This window comes from Homo sapiens, chromosome 6 (assembly GCF_000001405.40).
Source record: "Homo sapiens chromosome 6, GRCh38.p14 Primary Assembly".
NCBI classification, from domain to species: domain Eukaryota; kingdom Metazoa; phylum Chordata; class Mammalia; order Primates; family Hominidae; genus Homo; species Homo sapiens.
Genome location: NC_000006.12, coordinates 28,899,627 through 28,924,052, shown reverse-complemented (window position 1 = coordinate 28,924,052; position 24,426 = coordinate 28,899,627). Strand labels below are relative to the sequence as shown.

At 44.2% G+C, this 24,426-nt stretch overlaps 1 protein-coding gene and 1 pseudogene across 1 annotated transcript, besides 2 other annotated features; one reads left to right on the top strand and one right to left on the bottom strand.

The window, feature by feature from the left end:
* The first annotated feature begins 67 nt into the window (after positions 1 to 67).
* On the top strand, positions 68 to 21,051 carry TRIM27 (tripartite motif containing 27). The gene is made up of 8 exons (NM_006510.5): positions 68 to 840; positions 2,066 to 2,161; positions 3,811 to 4,041; positions 12,335 to 12,357; positions 14,965 to 15,080; positions 15,213 to 15,245; positions 16,791 to 16,817; positions 19,388 to 21,051. Exons 1-8 carry the CDS (start codon positions 421 to 423, stop codon positions 19,981 to 19,983), a joined length of 1,542 nt encoding a protein of 513 aa, NP_006501.1. The 5' UTR covers positions 68 to 420; the 3' UTR covers positions 19,984 to 21,051.
* Positions 266 to 797: an enhancer, noted in NCBI's record as "NANOG-H3K27ac-H3K4me1 hESC enhancer chr6:28891033-28891564 (GRCh37/hg19 assembly coordinates)". NCBI's record gives its function as "activates a minimal SCP1, AML or CMV promoter by ChIP-STARR-seq in primed H9 embryonic stem cells {active_cell/tissue: H9 hESC(primed)}" and the evidence as "EXISTENCE:reporter gene assay evidence [ECO:0000049][PMID:30033119]".
* Positions 798 to 1,329: an enhancer, noted in NCBI's record as "NANOG-H3K27ac-H3K4me1 hESC enhancer chr6:28890501-28891032 (GRCh37/hg19 assembly coordinates)". NCBI's record gives its function as "activates a minimal SCP1, AML or CMV promoter by ChIP-STARR-seq in primed H9 embryonic stem cells {active_cell/tissue: H9 hESC(primed)}" and the evidence as "EXISTENCE:reporter gene assay evidence [ECO:0000049][PMID:30033119]".
* RNU6-930P (RNA, U6 small nuclear 930, pseudogene) lies at positions 8,309 to 8,408 on the bottom strand (annotated as a pseudogene).
* Positions 21,052 to 24,426: the final 3,375 nt, after the last annotated feature.

Below are 24,426 nucleotides of genomic sequence, written 5' to 3'. Positions count from 1 at the left end.
CGCTGGAAGCGCGAGCCAAGCCCCGCCCCCGCGAGCCGCCTCTTCCGCTCGCGCTGGGGTGGGGTTTACGCTGCCGCCGGCATCCGCTCGGACGCGGCCACGTTGTCTTGCGCGCTTTGCCCGCCTGGCCCTGGGACTCTGACCCTCGGCTACCCTTTCCTGCCCCACTAGCGTGGCCGCGAGCCTCGGTGAGCCGGCCGTATTCCCGCTCTCGCTTAGGGGGCACAGGCGCAGGCATCGGCCCGGCCACTCCAAGCCTTCGGTGCGCGGGCGCGTCTGGGATACGGGCCCGGGAGGCGCCGCCCTCCGTCCGCCCGGTGCCTCTCAGGAACAGCGAACCGGAGAGAGCGCCGGAGAGTTGGGCTCAGTGCAGAGCTCGGCGCCGGGGCCCATGCCCGTGCGCCCCCGCAGGCCGGCGCCATGGCCTCCGGGAGTGTGGCCGAGTGCCTGCAGCAGGAGACCACCTGCCCCGTGTGCCTGCAGTACTTCGCAGAGCCCATGATGCTCGACTGCGGCCATAACATCTGTTGCGCGTGCCTCGCCCGCTGCTGGGGCACGGCAGAGACTAACGTGTCGTGCCCGCAGTGCCGGGAGACCTTCCCGCAGAGGCACATGCGGCCCAACCGGCACCTGGCCAACGTGACCCAACTGGTAAAGCAGCTGCGCACCGAGCGGCCGTCGGGGCCCGGCGGCGAGATGGGCGTGTGCGAGAAGCACCGCGAGCCCCTGAAGCTGTACTGCGAGGAGGACCAGATGCCCATCTGCGTGGTGTGCGACCGCTCCCGCGAGCACCGCGGCCACAGCGTGCTGCCGCTCGAGGAGGCGGTGGAGGGCTTCAAGGTGAGGGCGCGGATCCGGGAGGGCGGGAGCGCGAGTCGGACAAAGGGAGGAGAGAGCCAAAGGGGCTTCCTTTTTTCCGCCTAGAAAATGGCTGAGCCGGACGTGTGGTTCACAGCCGTCATTTCCTCTCTGTCCGCTCCAGAGCCTCAGCACTCAGATTTGGAGGAAAACCTGTAGCTGGCGAGGAAGCCAGGAGTGTCCCCACCCCCACTCTCTTTTCTCTGTTTACCCCCATGTTACCTGTCTCACGGACACATTGTACACGGAGACATCCTTTTGACAGTTTAAAAGAAGTGCATAAAACCGCGTACACATCGACAAGCTGCAGACACTCTTACTCCCATCGGCTCTCAGACAAAACGCAGTTGGACGTTAACTGACTTATGCCCATTCCTTAGTCTATAAGCATTTCCCCAGCACTTTCCTGCAATCCGTCCTGGTCTAGAAACTCACAGAAAAGAACAGCTTTTCGCTGCTGGAGTAAGTCACTTAACCACTCTGAGACTCAGGAGATAACACAGTTATGAGGAATATTGTGGAATCATGTGACTCACAGAGCCCTTTGTGAACTGGCACAGCTAAACAGAAACGTGGAAACAAAGTATTACATATAAAACAGTTGTAAGGTGACCTTCAAGGAGTCCATGATACTGTGTATTTTCTGTACGTTGAGGGCTTCAGGAATGCGTACACAATTATGTCCGTGTTTAAATATGAGTACATTCATGTGCAATCACTTAACATTTATGGACCTTTCAGCTATATTATTTCACTCACTCTGGTGAGAACTCTTGAGTAGGTTGGGAAGATGGTGTTTGCCCATTTCACACATGAGGGAAATAAGTCACTTTCACAGTGTACCTATATGGAAGAGCTACAATACAACATAGTTCTAAGCCTCCTACTCCAGTCACAGTTCCGCTAAGTCATGCAATATCCTACCAGGGACAGGTAGATGACTCATTGTTTAAGATAGACACAAATAGTCCTGACGAGGTAGCTGAGTGGTTGAAGCCACAGGCTGCTAAGATAGACACAGATTGCCAAAGGAGTGGCTTGTTTGCCCCTGCGCCCTGAGTCTCTTGTGGGTGGCAGTGTGGCCTAAGGACAAGCGCCAACTGGAGACTTGGCATCAGGTGTGTGGACTCCATGTGTGATAAGAAGTACCATGCTGATGCTAAGGTCTACCTAATTTTGAACTGCCCATCTGTTTTGCTTTTCTCAGGAGCAAATCCAGAACCAGCTCGACCATTTAAAAAGAGTGAAAGATTTAAAGAAGAGACGTCGGGCCCAGGGGGAACAGGCACGAGCTGAACTCTTGGTAAGGGTTGTTGGAATTCACAGTTGGTTCTGCTGGTGCTCTCCTCTTCTGTAGAGCTGATGTTACTTCCCTTAAACTTGTCCAGCATGTCACCCAGAACTTGTAGGTAGAGGTGGATCAACCGCACATGGCAGTGGGAACTCACCCGGAGAACTAAGATTCCCTTACTTTTGGGGAAAGCATGGAGAAGCCAAGTTTGGAACCCTTGGAAATCAGACCTGTCAGTTTACTTTAACCTGCTAACTGCGTAGACCAGGGTTGATCCTTGGCAAAGCTGAGATAGGTAAAATTATTGGATACAGTTAGCTTGCGTTGGTACCATTCTGCAGACAATTGCTAATAGTGGATTTGTGTAATCCCCACTGTTGCTTCTCTTTGGCTTATTCTCCTTTCTTAACAATGCCTTAATTCTGAATTTTTTACTCTGCCCTCTTCCTCCAGTCTCAAGGCCTTAACAAGTGGCTGATGTGTTAATTTATATTAGGGGTATATGGGAATTTTTTTTTTTTTTTTTAAGACAGGGTCTCACTGTCATCCAGGCTGGAGTGCAATGGTGAGGTTTTGGCTCGCTGCAACCTCTGCCTCCCAGTTCAAGCGATTCTCCCACCTCAGCCTCCCAGGTAGCTGAGGCTACAGGCGTACGCCAACAGACTCAGCTAATTTTTGTATTTTTAGTAGAGATGGTGTTTCTCCATGTTGGTTAGGCTGGTCTCGAACTCCCGACCTCAGGTGATCCGCCCACCTCAGCCTCCCAAAGTGCTGGGATTACAGACGTGAGCCACCGCGCCCAGCCTGGCTCCTTGTTTAGAACAAAAGTTTATAATAGAGTCCTGTTGGTGGTGGGGGTTGGGTGAAGAACGAAGGACAGTAAATTATGGCAAACAAATGAGCGCCAAGAGGGAATCGTGGGGAGAGCACCTCTCCCCCTCCTACCCAAAGCTAGAGACAGCAGTTGGTGAACACCCGTGAAGGACAGACAGCGGGTATGGATTACATATGAAGGGCCCAGGGAAATTGGGCAAGGAAGCTGTTATTGGTTGTTCCATCCTCCATAGGGCACATATCTGACCCTGTCACTTTCCTGTGTGACAATCTTCCATGCTTCCCAGTTGGGATAGAGTCCTTACCCCCAGCCTCCCAGGCCAGGCATGACAAGGCCTTACCTTTTCTGGTCCCTTCCCTCAACACTCATGTGCTCCAGCCAGATAGCACCATTTGCTTTCTCTCCCCACTCTTTTGCCTGTGCCATTTCTTCTGCCTGGAAAGGCTTCCCGCTCATTGCCTATGTGGTGAATTCTTGTTCATCACATGAACATTGTGTGAAATTGCTTCTGTGAAGATGGTACCAGTTTCTTTCATTGCAGGCTGTCACCCTATCTTTAATTACCCATCCATGACTATGTATATCATATGAACCTGACTCACTTCTCTGAGTTGCTTGAGAACAGGGACTATGTCTTAATAATCACTGGGGTAATTCAGTTCCTGGGCATTATATATCCAGTCAGTAAAGACTGGAAATAATGAGTTAGCACTGTGCTTGTTTTAATCCATAATGAGGTCTTGGGCTACATGGTCACAGGAGAACTATGAAGGCCCTAGAAATGAGCCGTTTTTCTCTTTACTGCCTTTCCCTGTCGTCTGCATAGAGCCTAACCCAGATGGAGAGGGAGAAGATTGTTTGGGAGTTTGAGCAGCTGTATCACTCCTTAAAGGAGCATGAGTATCGCCTCCTGGCCCGCCTTGAGGAGCTAGACTTGGCCATCTACAATAGCATCAATGGTGCCATCACCCAGTTCTCTTGCAACATCTCCCACCTCAGCAGCCTGATCGCTCAGCTAGAAGAGAAGCAGCAGCAGCCCACCAGGGAGCTCCTGCAGGTAAGGCTTGCAGAGCCCTGCTAGAGCAGCACCCACTGAAAATATCGTCCCTTCTCCTTTGCCAAGTAGTATCCAGGACCCCCTGTCTTCTTTTTAACTCTGCAGGAATAGCAAGAGCTTGCCAAACTCTATATTGTGCACCTTGGAAGGAAACTGTGTAAACTAGAAGTTCTGGTTCACACAACTTGAATTAGTCAATTGCGTTGTCTCATAGAAATGGCAAAAAGAAGACCTGGTGCTTGTGCCTACACAGCACTGACAAGTGGTCTGATTACAGGCAAGGCTCTCAACCTTTTTGGGCCTCAGTGACCTCATTTGTTCAGTAATGAGGGGCTTAGACCACATGTCATTCAAAGACTCTCCTCACTCCAGTATCCTGTAGTTTTAATGTATTACTATAGCCACAAAACAATGAGCACTTGAGCAGGAGTGGTTAGGTTACCTGAGCAGTCCTGTGATTTAACCTTGGTAGAGCAGGTGATAAAGCTGCAGCAGACCTACCCCGGCAAGACTACAGGAAATGAGCTAATGCCTGTCTGTCGTTTGCTCATTCAGTGCGTATTAATTATTTGCTTTGTGTCAGGCACTATTCTAGGCACTGGGATTAAGTGCCAAATAAGCTTTCCTGAATTATATTTTAGTGTGGCGATCAGATAGTTCTTATAGGTATTTGATAAAAGCCATTAAAAATGGATGATGGCGGGCCAGGTGCAGTGGCTCACACCTGTAATCCCAGCACTTTGGGGGGCCGAGGCGGGTGGATCACAAGGTCTAGGACTTCAAGACTAGCCTGGCCAAGATGGGGAAACCCCGTCTCTACTAAAAATACAAAAATTAGCCAGGCATGGCGGTGTGCCTGTAGTCCCAGCTACGCGGGAGGCTGAGGCAAGGAATTGCCCAAAACCAGGAGGAAGTGGTTGCAGTGAGCCAAGATCGCGCCACTGTACTCCAGCCTGGGCAACAGAGCGAGACTCTGTCTCAAAAAAATAAATAAATAATAAAAAATAAAAATAAAAATGGATGATGGCATAGGGCAAGGGTCAGCAAATTATGGTCCATCCCCTGTTTTTGTATGTCCTGGGCAATAAGTATGGTTTTTACATTTTAATTTTAATTTAATATTATTTATTTATTTTGAGATTGAGTCTTGCTCTGTTGCCCAGGCTGGAGTGCAGTGGTGCGATCTTGGCTCACTGCAACCTCCGCCTCCTGGGTTCAAGCGATTCTCCTGCCTCAACCTCCTGAGTAGCTGAGATTACAGGCGCACACCACCATGGCTGGCTAATTTTTGTATTTTTAGTAGAGACGGGGTTTCACCATATTGGTCAGGCTGGTCTCAAACTCCTGACCTCGTGATCTGCCCTCCTCGGCCTCCCAAAGTGTTGGGATTACAAGTGTGAGCCACAGCGTCAGGCCAGTTTACATTTTTAAATGGTAAAAATCAGAAAAATGTATTTCTTTCTTTCTTTTTTTCTTTTTTTATTTTTGAGACGAAGCAAGAAGGGAGTGGACAGCATAGTAATGCAGTTGAGGTCAAATAATATCAAAGCTGATACCCATTTGATTCAATAACATGACCATCATTGGTGATCTTAGGTAGAACTATCACAATGGAATAATTGGGGCAGGAGCCACATTAGGGGGAGTTGAGTAGTGACTAGGTCAGGTGAATGGAGACTACACAAGTAGATGACTATTTCAAGTACAACTGTTAAGGGGTTGTAATAAAATACTTAGAGACGAGACAGGATTATGGAGTTTTATCTGGAAGGGTTGGTTAAAGAAACTAGAAGTTAGACATATTTTCAAAATACATATGGAAAGGAGTATATGTTGTAAGGTTTCTAGGTGAGGGAGAACACTGAAGCCACAAGAAACCATATACTGGCCGGGCACGGTGGCTCATGCCTGTAATCCCAGCACTTTGGGAGGCCGAGGTGGGCAGATCACCTGAGGTCGGGAGATTGAGACCAGCCTGACCAACATGGAGAAACCCCATCTCTATTAAAAATACAAAATTAGCCGGGTGTGGTGGCACATGCTTGTAATCCCAGCTACTCAGGAGGCTGAGGCAGGAGAATCGCTTGAACCAGTGAGACGATGGTTGCAGTGAGCCGAGATTGCGCCATTGCATTCCAGCCTGGGCAATGAGCGAAACCCTGTCTCCAAAAAAAAAAAAAAGAAAGGAAGAAAGAAACCATGTACTGATCAGCAATGTGCGGTTCCTGAGAAGGCAGGTGGAAATGAGAACTAAAGTACATATGCCAGGAATTAGTGTCAGAGAGTCTTCTGTTGTATGGGAAGAAATGATTGTTTCAGAGTATGGGAAAGACAGTTGGTTTGCGAGAACTAGTAGGAGTATTTGGTCAGTGAACATCTATTTATAGTGTAACCATTCTGCCCTGTTGTGTAACTTTCTTTTTTTTTTTTTTTTAAGACATACTCTTGCTCTGTTGCCCAGGCTGGAGTGCAGTGGTGCAATCTTGGCTCACTGCAACATCCCCCTCTCAAGTTCAAGCAATTCTCCTGCCTCAGCCTCCCAAGTAGCTGGGATTACAGGCGTGTGCCACCACGCCCAGCTAATTTTTGTATTTTTTATAGAGACGGAGTTTCACCATGTTGGCCAGGCTGGTCCTGAACTCCTGACCTCAGGTGATCCTTCTGCCTCGGCCTCCCAAAGTGCTGGGATTACAGGTGCGAGCCACCGTGCCCAGCCCCTGTCGTGTAACTTTCTTATCAGCTTTGCTTTCTCAAATCTTGACTGCTCTGGCGTGGGCACTGAGTAAGCAGATGGTCAGTCTCATCCAGGATTGGGGTTTTGCAAGATGGACTTGAGTGTTTTTTTTTCCTTAGTTTTTATTGTTGTTGTTTGAGACAGGGTCTCACTCTGAAACCCAGTCGGAGTGCAGTGACATGATCATGGCTCACCGCAGCCTTGACCTCCCAGGCTCAGATGATCCTCCCACCTCAGCCTCCCAAGTAGCTGGGACTACAGGCGTAAACCACCATGCTTGGCTAATTTGTGTAATTTTTGTAGAGATGGAGTTTTGCCATGTTGCCTCGGCTGGTCTTGAACTCCTGGGCTCAAGCAATCCATCCGCCTCAGCCTCCCAAAGTGCTAGGATTACAGGTGTGAGCCACCACATCCAGCCTTCCAGCCTTCTTCATTTTTTTAATTGTAAAATATACGTAACCTAAATTTCACCATTTTAAAGTGTAAAACTCTGGCACAAAGTAGCATTTAGTAAATCCACAGTGTTGTAAATTATCAACCACTGTCTGGATCTAAAACACTTTTACCACCCAAAAGGAAACCTCACACTATTAAGCAATCACTCCTCATTTCCTTCTACCCCTAACTCCTGGCTCTATGGATTAGTCTATTCTAGATATTAGATATAATTGAAATCATACAGTACGTAGCCTTTTTCTTCACTTAGCATACTTTTTTTTTTTTTTGAGGCAGAGTTTCACTCTTGTTGCCCAGGCTGGAGTGTAACGGCACGATCTCCGCTCACCGCAACCTCCGCCTGCCAGGTTCAAGCGATTCTCCTGCCTCAGCCTTCCGAGTAGTTGGTATTACAGGCATGCGCCACCACCCCTGGCTAATTTTGTATTTTTAGTAGAGACGGGGTTTCCCCATGTTGGTCAGGCTAGTCTCAAACTCCTGACTTCAGGTGATCCACCCACCTCAGCCTCCCAAAGTATTGGGATTACAGGTGTGAGCCACCACGCCCGGCCTATCACTTAGCATATTTTTTTAAAGATTCATTCATATTGTAATATGTTTCAGTACTGGCCAGGCGCGGCGGCTCACGCCTGTAATCCCAGCACTTCAGGAGGCCAAGGTGGGCAGATCACGAGGTCAGGAGTTCGAGACCAGCCTGGCCAACATGGTGAAACCCCGTCCCTACTAAAAATACAAAAATTAGCCAGGCGTGGTGGCGCATGCCTGTAATCCCAGCTACTCAGGAGGCTGAGGCAGGACAATCACTTGAACCTGGGAGGCAGAGGTTGTAGTGAGCCGAGATCGTGCCATTGCACTCCAGCCTACGCAATAGAATGAGACTCCATCTCAAAAAATATATATATGAAAAAATATATATTTCAGTACATATATATATGTTTCAGTATTTCTCTTTATGGCTGAATAACATTCCATTGTATGGATATATAATATGTTTTGTTTATTCATCAGTCGATGGGCATTTTGGTTGTTTGCACCTTTTGGCTATTGTCAATAGTGCTGCTGTGAACATTGAACACAAAAAGTAGAAAATGGTTCACAAATTTGTGTGTTATCCTTGTGCAGGAGCCATGCTAATCTGTGCATGGTTCCCATTTGAGGATATCTGCTGCTGAAGCAAGCACCATAATTAAGGCTTTAAAACCTTTTTTTAAATTTTTTTTAGACAAAGTCTCACTCTGTTGCCCAGGCTGGAGTGCAGTGGCACAATCTCAGCTCACTGCAGCTTCCACCTCCTGAGTGAGTCTCCTGCCTCAGCCTCCCGAGTAGCTGGGATTACAGGCACACACCACCACACCTAGCTAATTTTTGTATTTTTGGTAGAGATGGGGTTTCACCATGTTGGCCAGGCTGGTCTTCAACTCCTGACCTCAGGTGATCCGCCTACCTTGGCCTCCCAAAGTGCTGGTATAATAGACGTGAGCTACTGCGCCTGGTCTAAAGCTTCTTTTTTTTTTTTTTTTTTTTTTTTAAGAATATTTTTTTAAACAGATGGAGCATGAAACTGAAGGTGGATGATGAGGAAAGGAGAGAAAGAAAGAAGTCATGGACTCAGTAAGGGAGGAGGGGCTCCATGAATATCAAAAAGTGTTTATGTTGGAAGTCACTGGAAAAGCAGGATAAATATTACTTAATGGGGCAATACTGGAGGCATTCCCATTGAGGTCAGAAACAGGCCGGATGCCCAGTATCATTTATCTCTATTTAACACTGCATTAAAGGTTCTAACCAGTTCAGTTAAATAAAATAATTATAGGTATACAAATTGGGAAAGAAGTTAACATACAGAAATCAGCAGCCTTCATATGCCAGATAGCAGCCACTAGAAGACATATTAGAAGAGAACATGCTGTTTCCATTTGCAAAAAAAAAACAAGTGATAAAATATCTGGGAATAAATTTATAAGAAATATACAAAAACCTATGTGGAGAAAATTATAAAACATTCAAAGATTCCTGAAAGACACAAAATAAACTTGAACAAATAAAGAGATATCACTTATTCTTTGATAAGACAGGGAAAGCAAGTTGTCCTTCACATTCATAAATGCAGTTTCTTTTTTTTTTCTGTTACTCGGATATATTATGTAGTGAAGTCTCGGATTTCAGTGTAACCATCACCCAGGTACCCAGTGTACGTTGTACCCATTAAGTAATCTGTTATCCCTCATCCCCCCCCCCCCACCCTTGCAATTTCAATAAAAATACCAACAAGCTCTTTTTCTGGATCTAGACAAATTGACAGTCAACTTCAGATAGAAAAATAAGCACATAATAATATGCACATATAAAATAAGCACATATTATTATGTGCTTATTTTTATGGGATAGGCCGGGTGCAGTGACTCACACCTGTAATCCCAGTACTTTGGGAGGCCGAGGCAGGTGGATCACATTAGGTCAGGAGTTTGAGACCAGCCTGGCCAACATGGCAAAACCCCGTCGCTATTAAAAATACAAAAATTAGCCAGGTGTGGTGGCACATGCCTGTAATCTCAGCTACCTGGGAGGCTGAGGCAGGAGAATCTCTTGAACCCGGAGGTGGAAGTTGCAGTGAGCTGAGATCGCACCATTTCACTCCAGCCTGGGAGGCAGATCAAGACTCTGTCTCAAAAAAAAAAAAAAAAGCTGGGATAGATCACTAGAGCCCAAGAGGTTGAGCCTGCAGTGAGCTATGATTGCACCACTGCACTCCAGCCTGGGTAACAGAGCAAGACTCTGTCTTAAAAAAAAAAAAAAAACATAGGTAGGCTACACTGTGAAAGAAGAGCTCTGAGGGAGAACTGGCCCTACTAGATACTACACCATATTTTAAAGCCCATATAATTAAAGCTGTTGGTATTAGTACAAGAAAAAAGCGCACACACATTGTAACCAGTCAAAAGATAGTATTAAAATTGAATATTTGCCACAAATATCACAAATACAAGTGATAGTTCTAATATAAAAAGACCTTTTAAGTATTGCGAGAGAAAAGACCAAAATTCTAGAGAAAAATGGGTTGAAGGCACAAATAGACAAGCTGCAAAAGACATAAATTGCTTTGTGAACATGTGAAAAAATGCTCAGCTGTACTTATAATAAGAGAAATGCAAACTAAAACCACACTAAAATACCATTTCTTACTCGTTACAATAGCAAAAATTTTCAACTTAATACACTTTTGACGAAGTGTCGGAGAGACACTCATATGCCAGTGGGCTGGTAGGAATGCAAAATCATGACCCTTTTGGAGGAGAATTTCTCAATATTTAACAAAACTGTATGTGTGTGTGTGTATGTATACACACAGTTAGAATTAACAATTTTTCTAGGAAGGGTAGAGGGAGGAGAGATGAGAGATTGATTAATGGGTACAAATATACAGTTTGATAGAAGAAATAAAAGCTAGTGTTTGATAGGTCAGTAGGGTGACTGTAGTTTACAAAACTATTATATATATCTATGTATATACACACACATATACATACGTATATTATATATATATATATATATTTTTTTTTTTTTTTGAGATGGAGTTTCACTCTTGTTGCCCAGGCTGGAGTACAATGGCAAGATCTCAGCTTACCGCAACCTCTGCCTCCCGGGTTCAAGCGATTCTCCTGCCTCAGCCTCCCGAGTAGCTGGGATTACAGGCATACGCCACCATGCCCGGCTAATTTTGTATTTTTAGTAGAGACGGGGTTTCTCCATGTTGGCCAGTCTGGTCCCAAACTCCCGACCTCAGGTGATCCGCCCGCCTGGACCTCCCAAAGTGCTGGGATTACAGGCGTGAGCCACTGCGCCTGGCCTATTTTATAGTCCAAAGTGACTAGAGGAGAATAATTGCAATGCTTCTTGCATAAAGAAAAGGCAAATATTTAACGATGTGATGGATATCCCAATACACTGATTTCTTTACAAATTATGAACATGTTAAATTATCGCATGCACCCCCAAAATATATATGTCTGTTACGTATCAATAAAAAATTTTAAAAATCTAAGAATTTACTTTGAAGATATAACTATTAAAATATATTTGAAAATACATATGCACAAGATAACCTGCTGCAACATTTTTATAATTGCAAAATACTGGAAATAGTCTGACTTAGAAACCTACAAGATTGTTTTAGTTAATTATGCACATATACACTATGGAATACTATCCAAGTTAAAAAAAGGAAAAGAATGATACCTATGAACTGATACGGAGTGGTTTTCAGTATATATTGCTTTGTGGAAAATAAAAATGTGAAATAGAGAGTATGCTACTTTTTTTTTTTTTCCTGAGACAGAGTTTCACTCTTGTTGCCCAGGCGTGAGCCACCGCGCCTGACAAGAGTATGCTACTTTTTGTGTATGAAAGAAGGGAGAGGCCACCGCTGGCTCACACTTGTAATCCCAGCACTTTGAGAGGCCGAGGTGGGTGGATCACCTGAGGTCAGGAGTTCAAGACCATCCTGGCCAACATGGCAAAATGCTGTCTGTGCTAAAAACACAAAAATTAGCTGGGCGTGATGGCAGACACCCGTAGTCCCAGCTACTCAGGAGGCTGAGGCAGGAGAATTGCTCGAACCCGGGTGGCAGAGGTTGCAGTGAGCCAAGATCGCGCCATTGCACTCCAGCCTGGGCTACACAGAGCGAGACTCCGTCTCAAAAAAAAAAAAAAAAAAAGTATACTGGAGTTCTTTGTACTAACAGCTTTTCCGTGTATTTGAAATTATTTCATAATAAAAAGAAAGCAAGCTGGACAGGTAGGCAAGCTTGAGGTCCAATCATAGGACGCTTAAGTTAGTAAATTTGAAATCCTGAGGTCCTTGACCAGTGGATGGTGGGTACTGAAGGAGGGTATGGGAAATGCTGGTATAGCAAATAGTATGCATCCCATTTTCCTCTGCCTGCCTTTTAGCTCCTCAACACTGAGTTATGTTCCAGTGATCCTTTTCTCCCTAATTTCTCCCATGAGAGCCAGTCTGTAGTTGGTTTTTCAACAAACATCTGTGAAAGAAAACCGAAGTTTTAAATGACTTCTCATGGTTATTTTTTTTCCTTTCTCTTGCAGGACATTGGGGACACATTGAGCAGGTATAGTTTTCTGTTTCCCTAGTGTTAAATCAAATATGAGAAGACTGTCTCCTTCACATTTGTAAATCCTGAAAGGAGCCCTGAGCCTGAGGATGGACATCTTATCAAATTGACACATATCCCTGAAGAGAGTCACTAGTATACAAAGAATTAGATGAACCACAGCTCTACTCAGTAAAATTCAGGAAGTAGGGGGTTCATGTGGGAGGCTGCCGGTGGATTAGGGGTATGAGGACACTTCCATGGAGAGGGTGTGGCCTTACAGGGACCTGGGCTGAATATAAGGGTAGTTTATGTCTATTGCTTCCTATACATTTCAGAATCCTTTCCCCCTTCATTATCTCATTTTTTTTTTTCTGTAATGGGGGAAATAAAGCCTAAGAAAGGTGTGACTGGCCTGCATTTACATAATTACTGATGAGCCACCTGGATTCTGGCTCTTATTCTTACTCTTGCTATTTCTCTATGTTCCATCAAAAAAAAAAAAGTGAGGAAGAACTCCCTGGCAGCTGGAACACGATCAAAGAGGGAGAGCTTGGAGGGGGCAGTAAGCCAGGGCAAAGTTGTTTTGCAGGATGGATGACGAGGCAAGTGGGATGGGCCTTGGGAAGCTCATGTTTGGTGTAAGAATGCCTTCAGGGGTGGAAACTGACTTTGAGGAAGCTGTACTGTGAAGGTGATTAAGATCCTGAATGGTGAAAACCTTCTAAAGCAAAATGCAGCTTGACTATGTGGGAGCATTTAAGGAGATTGGGGAGGTCCTTATAGATGGGGCAGTTTGGCTGGGAGGCCTGTGTTGATAGAATCATGTTGATGGAATTGAGGTTCCTGAGGGATCCTAGGATGGAGATAAGGTGGAGTTCATACCAGTCCCAGCCAGATGACCTAAGCAAATAATACTGTTACCTGATACTTTATGATGCCAGTCTAGCTGTGACCTAACATACAGAGTTAGCTGCCTCAGACCCTAGCAGTTTGTGACATTAAGGATTGAATTTGGCTATATAAGATAGGAAACCCAAAATTTTATTGGCTTAAGGCTTAAACATAATAAAAGAAATGTGCAGGTTGGGTGCGGTGGCTCACACCTGTAATCCCAGCATTTTGGGAGGCCAAGTCAGGTGGATCACCTGAGGTCAGGAGTTCGAGACCAGCCTGACCAACATGGTGAAACCCCATTTCTACTAAAAATACAAAAATTAGCTGGGCGTGGTGGTGCATGCCTGTAATCCCAGCTACTTGGGAGGTTGAGGCAGGACAATTGCTCAAACTCTTGTGGCGGAGGTTGCAGTGAGCTGAGATCATGCCACTGCACTCTAGCCTGGGCGACAGAGCCTGACTCCCTCTCAAAAGAAAAAAAAAAGTAAGAAATGTGCAGGTAGGTAGTCTGTGGCTAGTGTGGTAACTCCAGTGATCCTCAGAGACTCAGGTTTCTTCCCATTCACTGTTCTACCATCCCTAAGGTATGGTCCTCATATAGTCCACAATAGCTGGTAGAATGCCAACCAAGAAGAAGGAGATAAGTCGCATCACATTACCTTTTTTTCTTCGTTTTTTTTTTTTTTTTTTTTTCATTTTTCTTTTTTGTAGAGGCAGGGTCTTACCATGTTGCCCAGGCTGGTCTTGAACTCCTAGCCTCAAAGTAATTATCCCACCTTGGCCTCCAAAAGTGTTGGGATTGCAGGCATGAGCCACTGTTTCCTGTCATGTTACATTTTTAAGTAGATTTCTCAAAACACCATGAGATACGTCTTACTTCTCATAGGCCAGAACTTAGTCACAAGGTCACATCTAGCTATGAGGGACTGGGCAGCTGTGAGCCATAAAAGGCAGAAGATGGCAGAAGGGGTATTGGATAGGCAACTGGCAGTCTTTGCTATAGACATCCTTGCAGGGCTAGGGAATTGGGTAATGTCCCCCACAGTGCCTTTCTATCTGAACATGTCATTCTTTCCATATTTGGGAACCTGAGAATTCGGGTTAATTGCCCACCATAAATATCAAGGACTGTCATGGAATCTAGTGCTTTCTGGCAAAGTCAGCCTCATATGTAATTCAGTAAACCTTTTTGAGTACTTAGTATTTGAAAAGCTGTGAGCTAGGTGCTTTGGGGGGTATGAGAATGAGTACAGTATCCTATTTTGGTCTAGAGGATCATAGCTCAGGAAGAGAAGGTGGGAAAAGCTGTAGTGGCTGATTTTAAAGACTGTCCGTGTACGCTAGACAGTTTAACTTAGCCCCTGTCCTAGTTCCTGGAAGGTCATGGAATTGGGAAAAAGAATTTACTTGGGCCGGACGTGGTGGCTCACGCCTGTAATCCCAGCACTTTGGGAGGCCGAGGCGGGAGGATCACCTGAGGTCAGGAGTTCGAGACCAGCCTGACCAGTATGGAGAAACCCCATCTCTACTAAAAACACAAAATTAGCTGGGTATGGTGGCGCATGCCTGTAATCCCAGCTACTCAGGAGGCTGAGGCAGGAGAATCGCTTGAACCTGGGAGGCAGAGGTTGCGGTGGGCCGAGATGGCGCCATTGCACTCCAGCCTGGGCAACAAGCGAAACTCCATCTCAAAAAAAAAAAAAATTTACTCATGTTTTTTAAATTTAGGGCTGAAAGAATCAGGATTCCTGAACCTTGGATCACACCTCCAGATTTGCAAGAGAAAATCCACATTTTTGCCCAAAAATGTCTATTCTTGACGGAGAGTCTAAAGCAGTTCACAGGTAATGTGAGGAGAGGTGTCATGAGGGGAAATGGATTTATACTGAGTATCTGCATATTGCCTGATGAAGAGGATAATTTTCCAGCCAGATAGTGGGATGCAGACTGAATATTTTCTTGTTTTCTTTTCTTAGAAAAAATGCAGTCAGATATGGAGAAAATCCAAGGTAAATTTATCTACCTACTGGGCTTTTGATGTAAAGTTGCTTGGAAAAAAGAACATCTGCACTGAAAGTGGGAAACGTGGGATAAGGGTGATACCCATTGGCCAGCCTTCCCTGATATTTTACATCTTCCCTTTGGTCTTAATTAATTTTCTCAATTAACAGCTTCTTGTTCTAATTTGAAGTTTGTTAACTGTATTTAGTCAATTCGCAGTCTGCATTGATGGAGGAGAAAAATAAGCAATCCAAAAATTAATCAATCCAGAATTAATTTGATTGTTTACTTCGGAAAGAATGAACAAAAACTACCTTGGATACGTTTCACTTGAGCCAGTGTTTATCATTGTAATTTACTGAGTTCCTACTGCTTGTGGGCACAGGTGCCAGCTCGGGCTGGAGGAATCCAGCAGCACTGACAGGCAGCACCGCCAGGGACATGGTTAGGAGCGGGCAGTCAGGAGTCAGGCTGCCTGGGTTCTGGGCCTGCCTCTACCACTTAGTAAGGATTCAACAAGTAATTTCCTCATCTGTAACAGAACAGTAATAGTTCTTACCTCCTGAGGTATAAGAATTAAGGTTAGTTACCATTTCTAACACTTCTAGAATAGAACCTGACACATAATAAGTCCTATATTTATGTTTATTAAATCGTTCTAGGCATTTGGAGAAGCTTTTCCAAATTAAAATTTTTCTGCTCACGAGCCACATTCAGTAAAGAGTTGGCCATATATTATTCCACCCAGGAATACTAAAATTCCTGGGCAGTCTGGTGGATTCTGAAATCCTTATATGTAGGTAAACCCTTCTCTTAATTATTAGAAATTACAAACCCCCACAATCTTTGATAATTTTCTATTTTGTATATGCTGGGTTCATATATGCATTGCATCTATTCAGATATATACTTTTTGGGGCATCTAGCAACATAGAGCTAGCAGATACATGTCCTCTACAAGCAAGACAAATGGGGAGAAACTCCACTCAATACAGTGGATAATACCAGAAGTGGTTAGTTCAGGCATGACTTTCCTTGATCTGGCTCTTCTTTTCTTGCCACTTAAAAGTCTTAGTGGGATAATGTGTGAGAAATTCTGTTTCAACTATAAAGTGCCTTATAAATGAATGGTCATGTTTACCCCAGAGTGTCAGTGAGTGTCACTTGAGCCATTCAGCTCTTGTACACAGATGACTTATGCAACTCAAAAGTTATGTATGACGTGGGGTTGGAACCGCGTTTCCCTCTGCAGAATCAGCTGACTCACTGGAAGGTGGAATTCTTGATCTTGGCTCAGTTTTATCCCATATTCTACCAGTCTCAGGCATGTGGTTATCCCTGTACTTAAGATTCCCAATCCCTCTCCCCTTAAAGCTTTTGGTTGGATGATAGAGCCATACATCATATGAAAAAATTAGTGCATGACTAACAACAGAGGTTCTGGGGTTTCTGGTGGAGACCACTGCTTTATGATGACTAACCAAAGCCCCCTTAGTTATGTATTTCCTGGAAACCCTCATGACTTCCATAACTTTGCTCTTTTATTCTTTCAGAATTAAGAGAGGCTCAGTTATACTCAGGTAGGTGATGAGAGACAAAACCATATTAGGGTAAGGAGTAAAAATCCTTGTGAACCTAACTACTATTATGAATGATTTGGAAATTGCTTAGATTTGGATTCTTTTGGTTACATGTATAAAGATGATACACAACAACCACAAAAATCCTCAGTTGTTTCTATGTGTTAACAGTATCTTTGCCTCCTGAAATGTCTCAGAGCTGAAGCCATAGGGTAAAATCAATCTCAGGTGTTAAAGAAGGATTATAGGGTGGAAACCGCAGTTCCCCAAAAGTAGAACAGAGCTGGTACACTAGTACACTGCTCTGCCCGCCCAGCTTCAGGGTCAAACCATGGTTTGTGACAAGCAGGACTGATTGAGCTCCACAATAGTGCTCTTGAGTGCTAGAGGAAGTCTAGGAGTCTTGTGTCATCCCATCACTGTGCCTCAGAGCAAAGTTTGAAACTTCCCTTCCCCCTCACAACCGCTTTCACCCTACTATAGAGCCTGGGTAAATTTAACATTGCAGAAGTATTCAAATCTAAGGTGTATTCGTCCCATAGTCACAGTCACCTTCTGTTATGAATTATCCTCTAAATGAAGAGAAGGACTCTACATACAGTGGATCTGCAGTCCTTGGTGTGCAGTGGCTCTGATCCATATTTATTTTCAACAAGTATTAAATGAGTACTTTGCTTGTATCCTACACTGCCTAACATTGTGCAGGGTATTTTAGAGGAACAGAAGAGCATAAGTCATCCTACTCTTGGGGTTTACATTGTCTGGTTGGAGGTATACCCATGACACAAGAAGAAGGTAGGCAGCTGTTGTAGACAGATTGTTGAACCAGGAGCCAAGGGTTCTGGGGTTCTTGGTTACCTCTATCAGTTGCCTGTCTTTTGTGGGAGTAAAAATTTGTGGGCTTAAATTTCTGAGAGGTAATGTTTGGGACTCTTCCTCCTGAACAAGATGTGAGGAGCAAATGAGAGAATACATATCAGTATTTTTATTTATTTATTTATTATTTTAATTTTTTAAATTTTTTATTATTCATTTTAGAGGCAGGTTCTCTGTTGCCCAGGCTGGTGTGCAGTGGCATGGTGATAGCTTGCTGCAGCCTCATACTCCTGGGCTCAAGTGATCCTCCTGCCTCAGCCTCCTGAGTAGCTGGAATTACAGGCATGCACCACCATGCTTGCCTAATTTTTTTACTTTTATTTTTTGTAGAGACAGGGTCTCAAACTCCTGTATGCAAGCAATCCTCTTGCCTCAGCTTCCCAAAGTGCTGAGATTACAGGCATGAGCCACATATCCAGCCCATTATCAGTGTTTTTGAAGCAGGAAAACACTTGATGATAGCAAGATGCTGTAATACTAAATGCCAGAGGAGATGACATGGGTCATACACAGTTTTAGATTTCAGAACAGTAAGTGTAATGGCCTGGGCAGATTAAGAAAAACTTGGAGGATGTGTGTTTTGGACTGGACATTAGAAGAAGATGAATAGAGCTTCGATGTGCAGAGTAAAGATCTTATAGAATGGATAAAAGAGTGATTTGGGCTGGGTGTAGTGGCTCACACCTGTAGTCCTAACACTTTGGAAGGCTGAAATGGGAAGTCTGCAGTGAGCCATGATTATGCCACTGTACTACAGTCTGGGTGACAGAGTGAGACCTCATCTCAAAAAATAAAAAAAAGTAAAAAATAATTTTAAAAGAGTGATTTAAAAAGTAAGCATACTGATACAGGTTCCCAGTCCCTTACCCACAGTTCTAAAATCCCAAATCTCTGAAAGCCAAAACCTTTTTCATTATTTTGTGGGAAATTAATTATAGCATCAAAACCTGAATTTATGTGGTACTGTTTAGAGCCTTTATCCTTCATTATGTAAACATTCATGAATCTCACAGCAGATCTATTAATACTTCATTATAGAATGCTGCCTGTCTAAAACCTGTAATATTCTGAATTCTATGAAACTTGGGGCCCCTGGAATTTTCAGAATAAGGGATGATGAGCGTGTAAGAAAACCTCAATTCAGCGTATCTGCCAGGCACAGTGGCTCATGCCTGAAATCCCATTGCTTTGGGAAGTTGAGGTGGGAGGATTGCTTGAGGCCAAGAGTTCGAGACCATCCTGAGCAACATAGTAAGACCTCATCTCTACAAAAAATTTTTTAAAATTAGGGTGGTAGTGCACACCTATGGTCCCAGCTACTTGGGTGTCTTAGGCGGGAGAATCACCTGAGCCCAGGAGTTTGGGGTTACAATGAACTATGACCACACCACTGCGCTCCAGCCTAGGCAACAGAGCAAGACCCTATCTCTTAAAATCAGTTCATGATGGATATTGTGGCTTCAGATGTGAAAGAAAAGATACGGGGCTAAAATTCTGTATTTTCAGAGTATTCTGGTAACCAGCTAATCCAAGCAGTAATTTTTGAAATGTGAAGTTTAGAATATATTCTAAATAAAATACGTGCAACCTCCAGTGGGAACCTCTTATTATTGGGGAGGTAGTAGAAAGGCGCTGGGTGTTCTAAAATAGGCTCTCCTGGCCCACGGCTGACTGTCTTCCTTGTGTCTCTACAGTGGACGTGACTCTGGACCCAGACACGGCCTACCCCAGCCTGATCCTCTCTGATAATCTGCGGCAAGTGCGGTACAGTTACCTCCAACAGGACCTGCCTGACAACCCCGAGAGGTTCAATCTGTTTCCCTGTGTCTTGGGCTCTCCATGCTTCATCGCCGGGAGACATTATTGGGAGGTAGAGGTGGGAGATAAAGCCAAGTGGACCATAGGTGTCTGTGAAGACTCAGTGTGCAGAAAAGGTGGAGTAACCTCAGCCCCCCAGAATGGATTCTGGGCAGTGTCTTTGTGGTATGGGAAAGAATATTGGGCTCTTACCTCCCCAATGACTGCCCTACCCCTGCGGACCCCGCTCCAGCGGGTGGGGATTTTCTTGGACTATGATGCTGGTGAGGTCTCCTTCTACAACGTGACAGAGAGGTGTCACACCTTCACTTTCTCTCATGCTACCTTTTGTGGGCCTGTCCGGCCCTACTTCAGTCTGAGTTACTCGGGAGGGAAAAGTGCAGCTCCTCTGATCATCTGCCCCATGAGTGGGATAGATGGGTTTTCTGGCCATGTTGGGAATCATGGTCATTCCATGGAGACCTCCCCTTGAGGAGGTGAATTCAGGCCAAAAGGGCTGTTGGCTGTAATCCTACGCCAGGCACAAGGCATCTTGTTGCCTTGCCACGTCCTGTCACAGCTGGGTATCCTTACCATGTTCCACGCCCTTGCAGTGGGAGACAGGATGTCCATGTTCTCTACCATCCTTTTCCTTCCCATGCAGATTGTGAAATGTAATGAGATGTATCAAGATATCCTAGAAATAAAAACCAGATGTCCACCTCCAGTGTTTCATACTTTCTGGTTTTACACATCGCTGGAGGGATAAAGAGTATGGATAATCTTTGGATTTGGAGAGCCGTTCAAGATACTTCCAGCTTCTTGGCTCAGCCTGGCTTCCTCTGGTTCAGCCCCACATAATGATTATGGCTATTTGCTGTCATTTCTGGGCTAGGGCTCCTTTCTAACAACCTAGACTGGAATAAGGCCCTGTCAGCATGGCTCCCTTTATCCCAGTTTTCCGTCTGGGAACAGTACCTCTGCCCCTGATTCCCAATGTGCCATAGTTTTATTAACTCCATTAAAGAAGCCTGTATGTGTTTTGGTTAGTTACAGTTATTTTACAATAATGGTGGGTAATGGCCCCACCTCTGTTATGAGATAATGTTCTAATCAATGTCTCTGCCTTTGTATCTTTTCTGAGGGCTTTGTCTGTTCTCTTCATTCTAATGAAAGGTGTATTCTAGTGCTGGGTGCATATCATCCAGGATAATATTCTGCCCAACTCCATCCTCTGTTACTAGATCCCTTACCAGTCACATTTGTGGACTGGTGGCCAGTCGTATACCATCCCTGGAAGGATTCTGGGACAATATTCCAGGGATTCATTGACTTCTTGGCTCCTTTTCTCCATTTCCTTTGGGGGAAGGGGGAATTGACCATGCTTAAGTGCATCCTATCAAGGGGCAGCTCCGTCCCCATGGCCATTGGATCATGAGACACTCTGAAGTCAGAAGGCTGGGGCAGATCACTTCAAGCAAGCCCCCATGATGGTTCTCAGTCCTGCTTCTCTGTGGGTACGTGCCCCTCTGTTTAAAAATAAACTGAATATGGATGTTTACATTGTTGTTGCTTTCTGGGTGTTGGTAGGATTGGGTTCAGATGTTGGAATGCGTGTGGGGAGGAAATGGTTAATGGTGTTGCTTTCCCATATGGGTGCAAAAATCCCACTCTGGCCAATAGTTTACTTCAAACTGGAAAATAAAACCACTTTCTCAGTGCCATGTCACTACTTTCTAGTGGTGCTAAGAAAGTAGTGTTGGACATTCATAGCCTACAGTTCTTTTTTTTTTGAGGTGGAGTCTTGCTCTGTCGCCCAGTCTAGAGTGCAGTGGCACGATCTCGGCTCACTGCAACCTCTGCCTCCCAGGTTCAAGCGATTTTCCTGCCTCAGCCTCCTGAGTAGCTGGGACTACAGGCGCCTACCACCGCGCCCGGCTAATTTTTTATTTTTAGTAGAGACGGGGTTTCACCATCTTGGCCAGGGTGGTCTTGAACTCCTGACCCTTGTGATCCACCTGCCTTGGCCTCCTAAAGTGCTGGGATTACAGGCGTGAGCAACCGCGCCCGGCCTGCCTACAGTTCTTATATTGGTTAATCCTGTAATTTTACTAGGAAAGTATTTTCTCAAGTCCTTTTTGTAGTATTGTGCCAGGCATTGGGGTTCCATGGCTGAGGTTCATGAGTTGGTGATATCATGTCCTAATTCTTCATTTATTCATCAGGTTTTAAGGGAAATAATAGAACCAGGGCTATAGAAAGTAGCTTCCATGAGGCTAGATTAGCTTTTGCTGAATATTCTGAGATCTAAATGTATACGGTAATATATATACAGGCACATAAATACTACTAACAAACATAGAGCAGTGCTTGGCACATCATATGAAGAGTTTTATGCACAGTAGCTTCCTTAATGCTCATGATAATTTTATCAAGTGTGTACTGTTGTCTTACTTTACAGATAAACTGCAGCAGAGAGGGTAAATGACTTATCCAAGGTACACAGCTAGGAAGCAGCAGAGCCAGGATTCAAACTGAGATGGAACACATGACCACATCAGGTCCTGCCCCACAACATGTGTTATTGGTTATCTTCTAGTTCTTGTGGGTGGTGTGTTTATAGGTATTTATTTATATTTTTAGTTTTAAAAGCCTGCCATTTTGAATGGGATTAAATGAACTTGTGATTCTAAGTTTACTCATCTGCAGAAAGGTAAGCAACTTTTGAGTTCACCGAGTCAGGAATTGAGTCACTAAAGACATATGGGGCCCACTCCGATTCCTTTGACTCCCCTCTCTTTCCTCAGAACATCTGCAATTGTTAATTATACATTACGGTTTCAATAACTTCTTCCTTAATTCTTTTGCTGTTCCAGGAAGTGTGTGTTTGTGCATGCACGTATGTGCACATGCCTGTGTGTCTTCAGGTGCTCTTGTTTTTTCTGATAAAGGCCAACATGCAAAGAAGACCATCTTCCCCAAGAGCAGACAAGGCCTAGAAGAGATAGGTTCAAAGAATAAAGGGAAACTGAACATGGCCCATACCCTCCACCATGTACAATTAAGTGAGAAGATGAGAGAATGCATGTAACAGCCTAACACTTAAAGGCACTATGAAATTAAGAGCAAATAACTGTCAGATGGTAAATGAGAGCCATTTGCTAATTCCTTTAGTTACCTGAGATGCAGACCAAAGAGTATACGTGGAAATCACGTATCTCCTCCCAGCAAAATAAAAAACAAAACTCAAAAGGTTCTTAGCATACCAATGGTGGTTGAGTTGCTTCTTCACAAATGAAAAACATTCTTTTATTCAAATAGACAATTCAGCCAGTGTTGGGTGCCCCAGCTGAACTTGCTCCTGAAGAGAATACAAGAGAGCATGGCTTCTATCCTTTGAAAAGTTAATTAGGAGAGGGGGAAAATAACGTGAAAAAATGTAGAGTACAACTAAAGATGATCTGGGGAGAAGTGAAACTTGTGCTCCAGGAGACCTCATTGCAGACCACAGTAATGTAAGAGGAAGCCTAAATGCCTGGGCTATGTTTCTTAGTGCCCTTTTTCTTGAGACTAAGAGACTTGCCCACTAGCTCCGTCCTGCACTAAATTTTGACTTAATGATATAAGCACATTACTAAATCCTGCACTTTGTTGAAACCAGAAATTCCTCCTATATGAAGTCTGTGAGAGTAATAATAAATCCCAACCAAACCAGCGTTAGAGAAAGGGTCTCACTTTGTCACCAAGGCTGGAATGCAGTGGCAAGATTATTACTCACTGCAGGCTCGAACTCCTGGGCTCAAGGGATTCTTCCTCCTCAACCTCCCAAAGTGTTGGGATTACAGGCATGGGCCACCATGCCAGGCCAAATAGTACTTCCATTTGACAGTATTGCCCCATTACATTTCCTTTTTCCCGTTGGAGAAAAGATACATTTCTTAGATCTGGCTTATCTGTTGAATTAATTTTGCATTTGAAGTTTGAAATGTAAGCAGGACATTTGAAGGTAACCTTTAGAGATACACACATCTCTACCAGATTCTTTGTTTAGAGGATGTGAAGAACTTGGATTTGTATGGGATGTGATTGCCAAACCCATTTTAGGGTTCTGATGCACAAAAAGAATAATAGAAAAAAGTGAGAATTAGAAAGATTTGAACCTACATATTTCTTTAAAAACTGGGAAGAAATATGCCAAAATATTAGCATAGATGCTTTTGATGAGACTTGGTGATTTTTTTTTTTTCTGTATTGAATGAACTCTTCACTATGGAAACCTGTAACCATATACAAAAATGAAGAAAATACACAGCGAACCCTCCTATATCATCTCCCAACTTCAACTACCAATTTATGGTCAGTCTCATTTGAATACAGCATCATCTCAATTTCCACCCCAATCTCTGTTACTCTCACGTAATCCTGGACATACCAGAAAACCAAGTTATATGAACCTCAAACAAAACAGTCAAGGGACTCATTTCAAGGTTGGAAATTAAATCCTGTTTTTTTGTTTTGTTTATTTCATTTTCATAGACCGCCATTGTTAGCTTCTTTCCTTTTTAGTCCCTCTGCTTCCCTCTTTAAATAATTTGTCAGGCCTTTTAAAATTCCTCTTACAGATGTTTTCATAAAAATGTAGAATGGCCTGTGGGGAGTCTTATTGTGCAATAAATATTATTAGTAAATAGTTAAAATATTGACATATTTAATTATATTTTACCTTATTCCAAAAAGGACTTAAAGCCATTTAAAACATAAAATCATGTCTGGGCTCGGTGGCTCACACCAGCACTTTGGAAGGCTGAGGCGGGCGGATCACCTGAGGTCAGGAGTTCAAGACCAGCCTGGCCAACATGGTGAAACCCCATCTCTACTAAAAATACAAAAATTAGCCAGGTGTGGTGGTGCATTTCTGTAATCCCGACTCGGGAGG

Excerpts from the sequence above, each read along its gene's own strand:
- TRIM27 (NM_006510.5), top strand. The coding sequence starts at position 421 with ATGGCCTCCGGGAGTGTGGCCGAGTGCCTGCAGCAGGAGACCACCTGC. Across the intron at positions 841-2,065 it reads AGGCGGTGGAGGGCTTCAAG|GAGCAAATCCAGAACCAGCT; the intron begins GTGAGGGCGCGG and ends TGCTTTTCTCAG. Across the intron at positions 15,246-16,790 it reads AGATATGGAGAAAATCCAAG|AATTAAGAGAGGCTCAGTTA; the intron begins GTAAATTTATCT and ends TTATTCTTTCAG.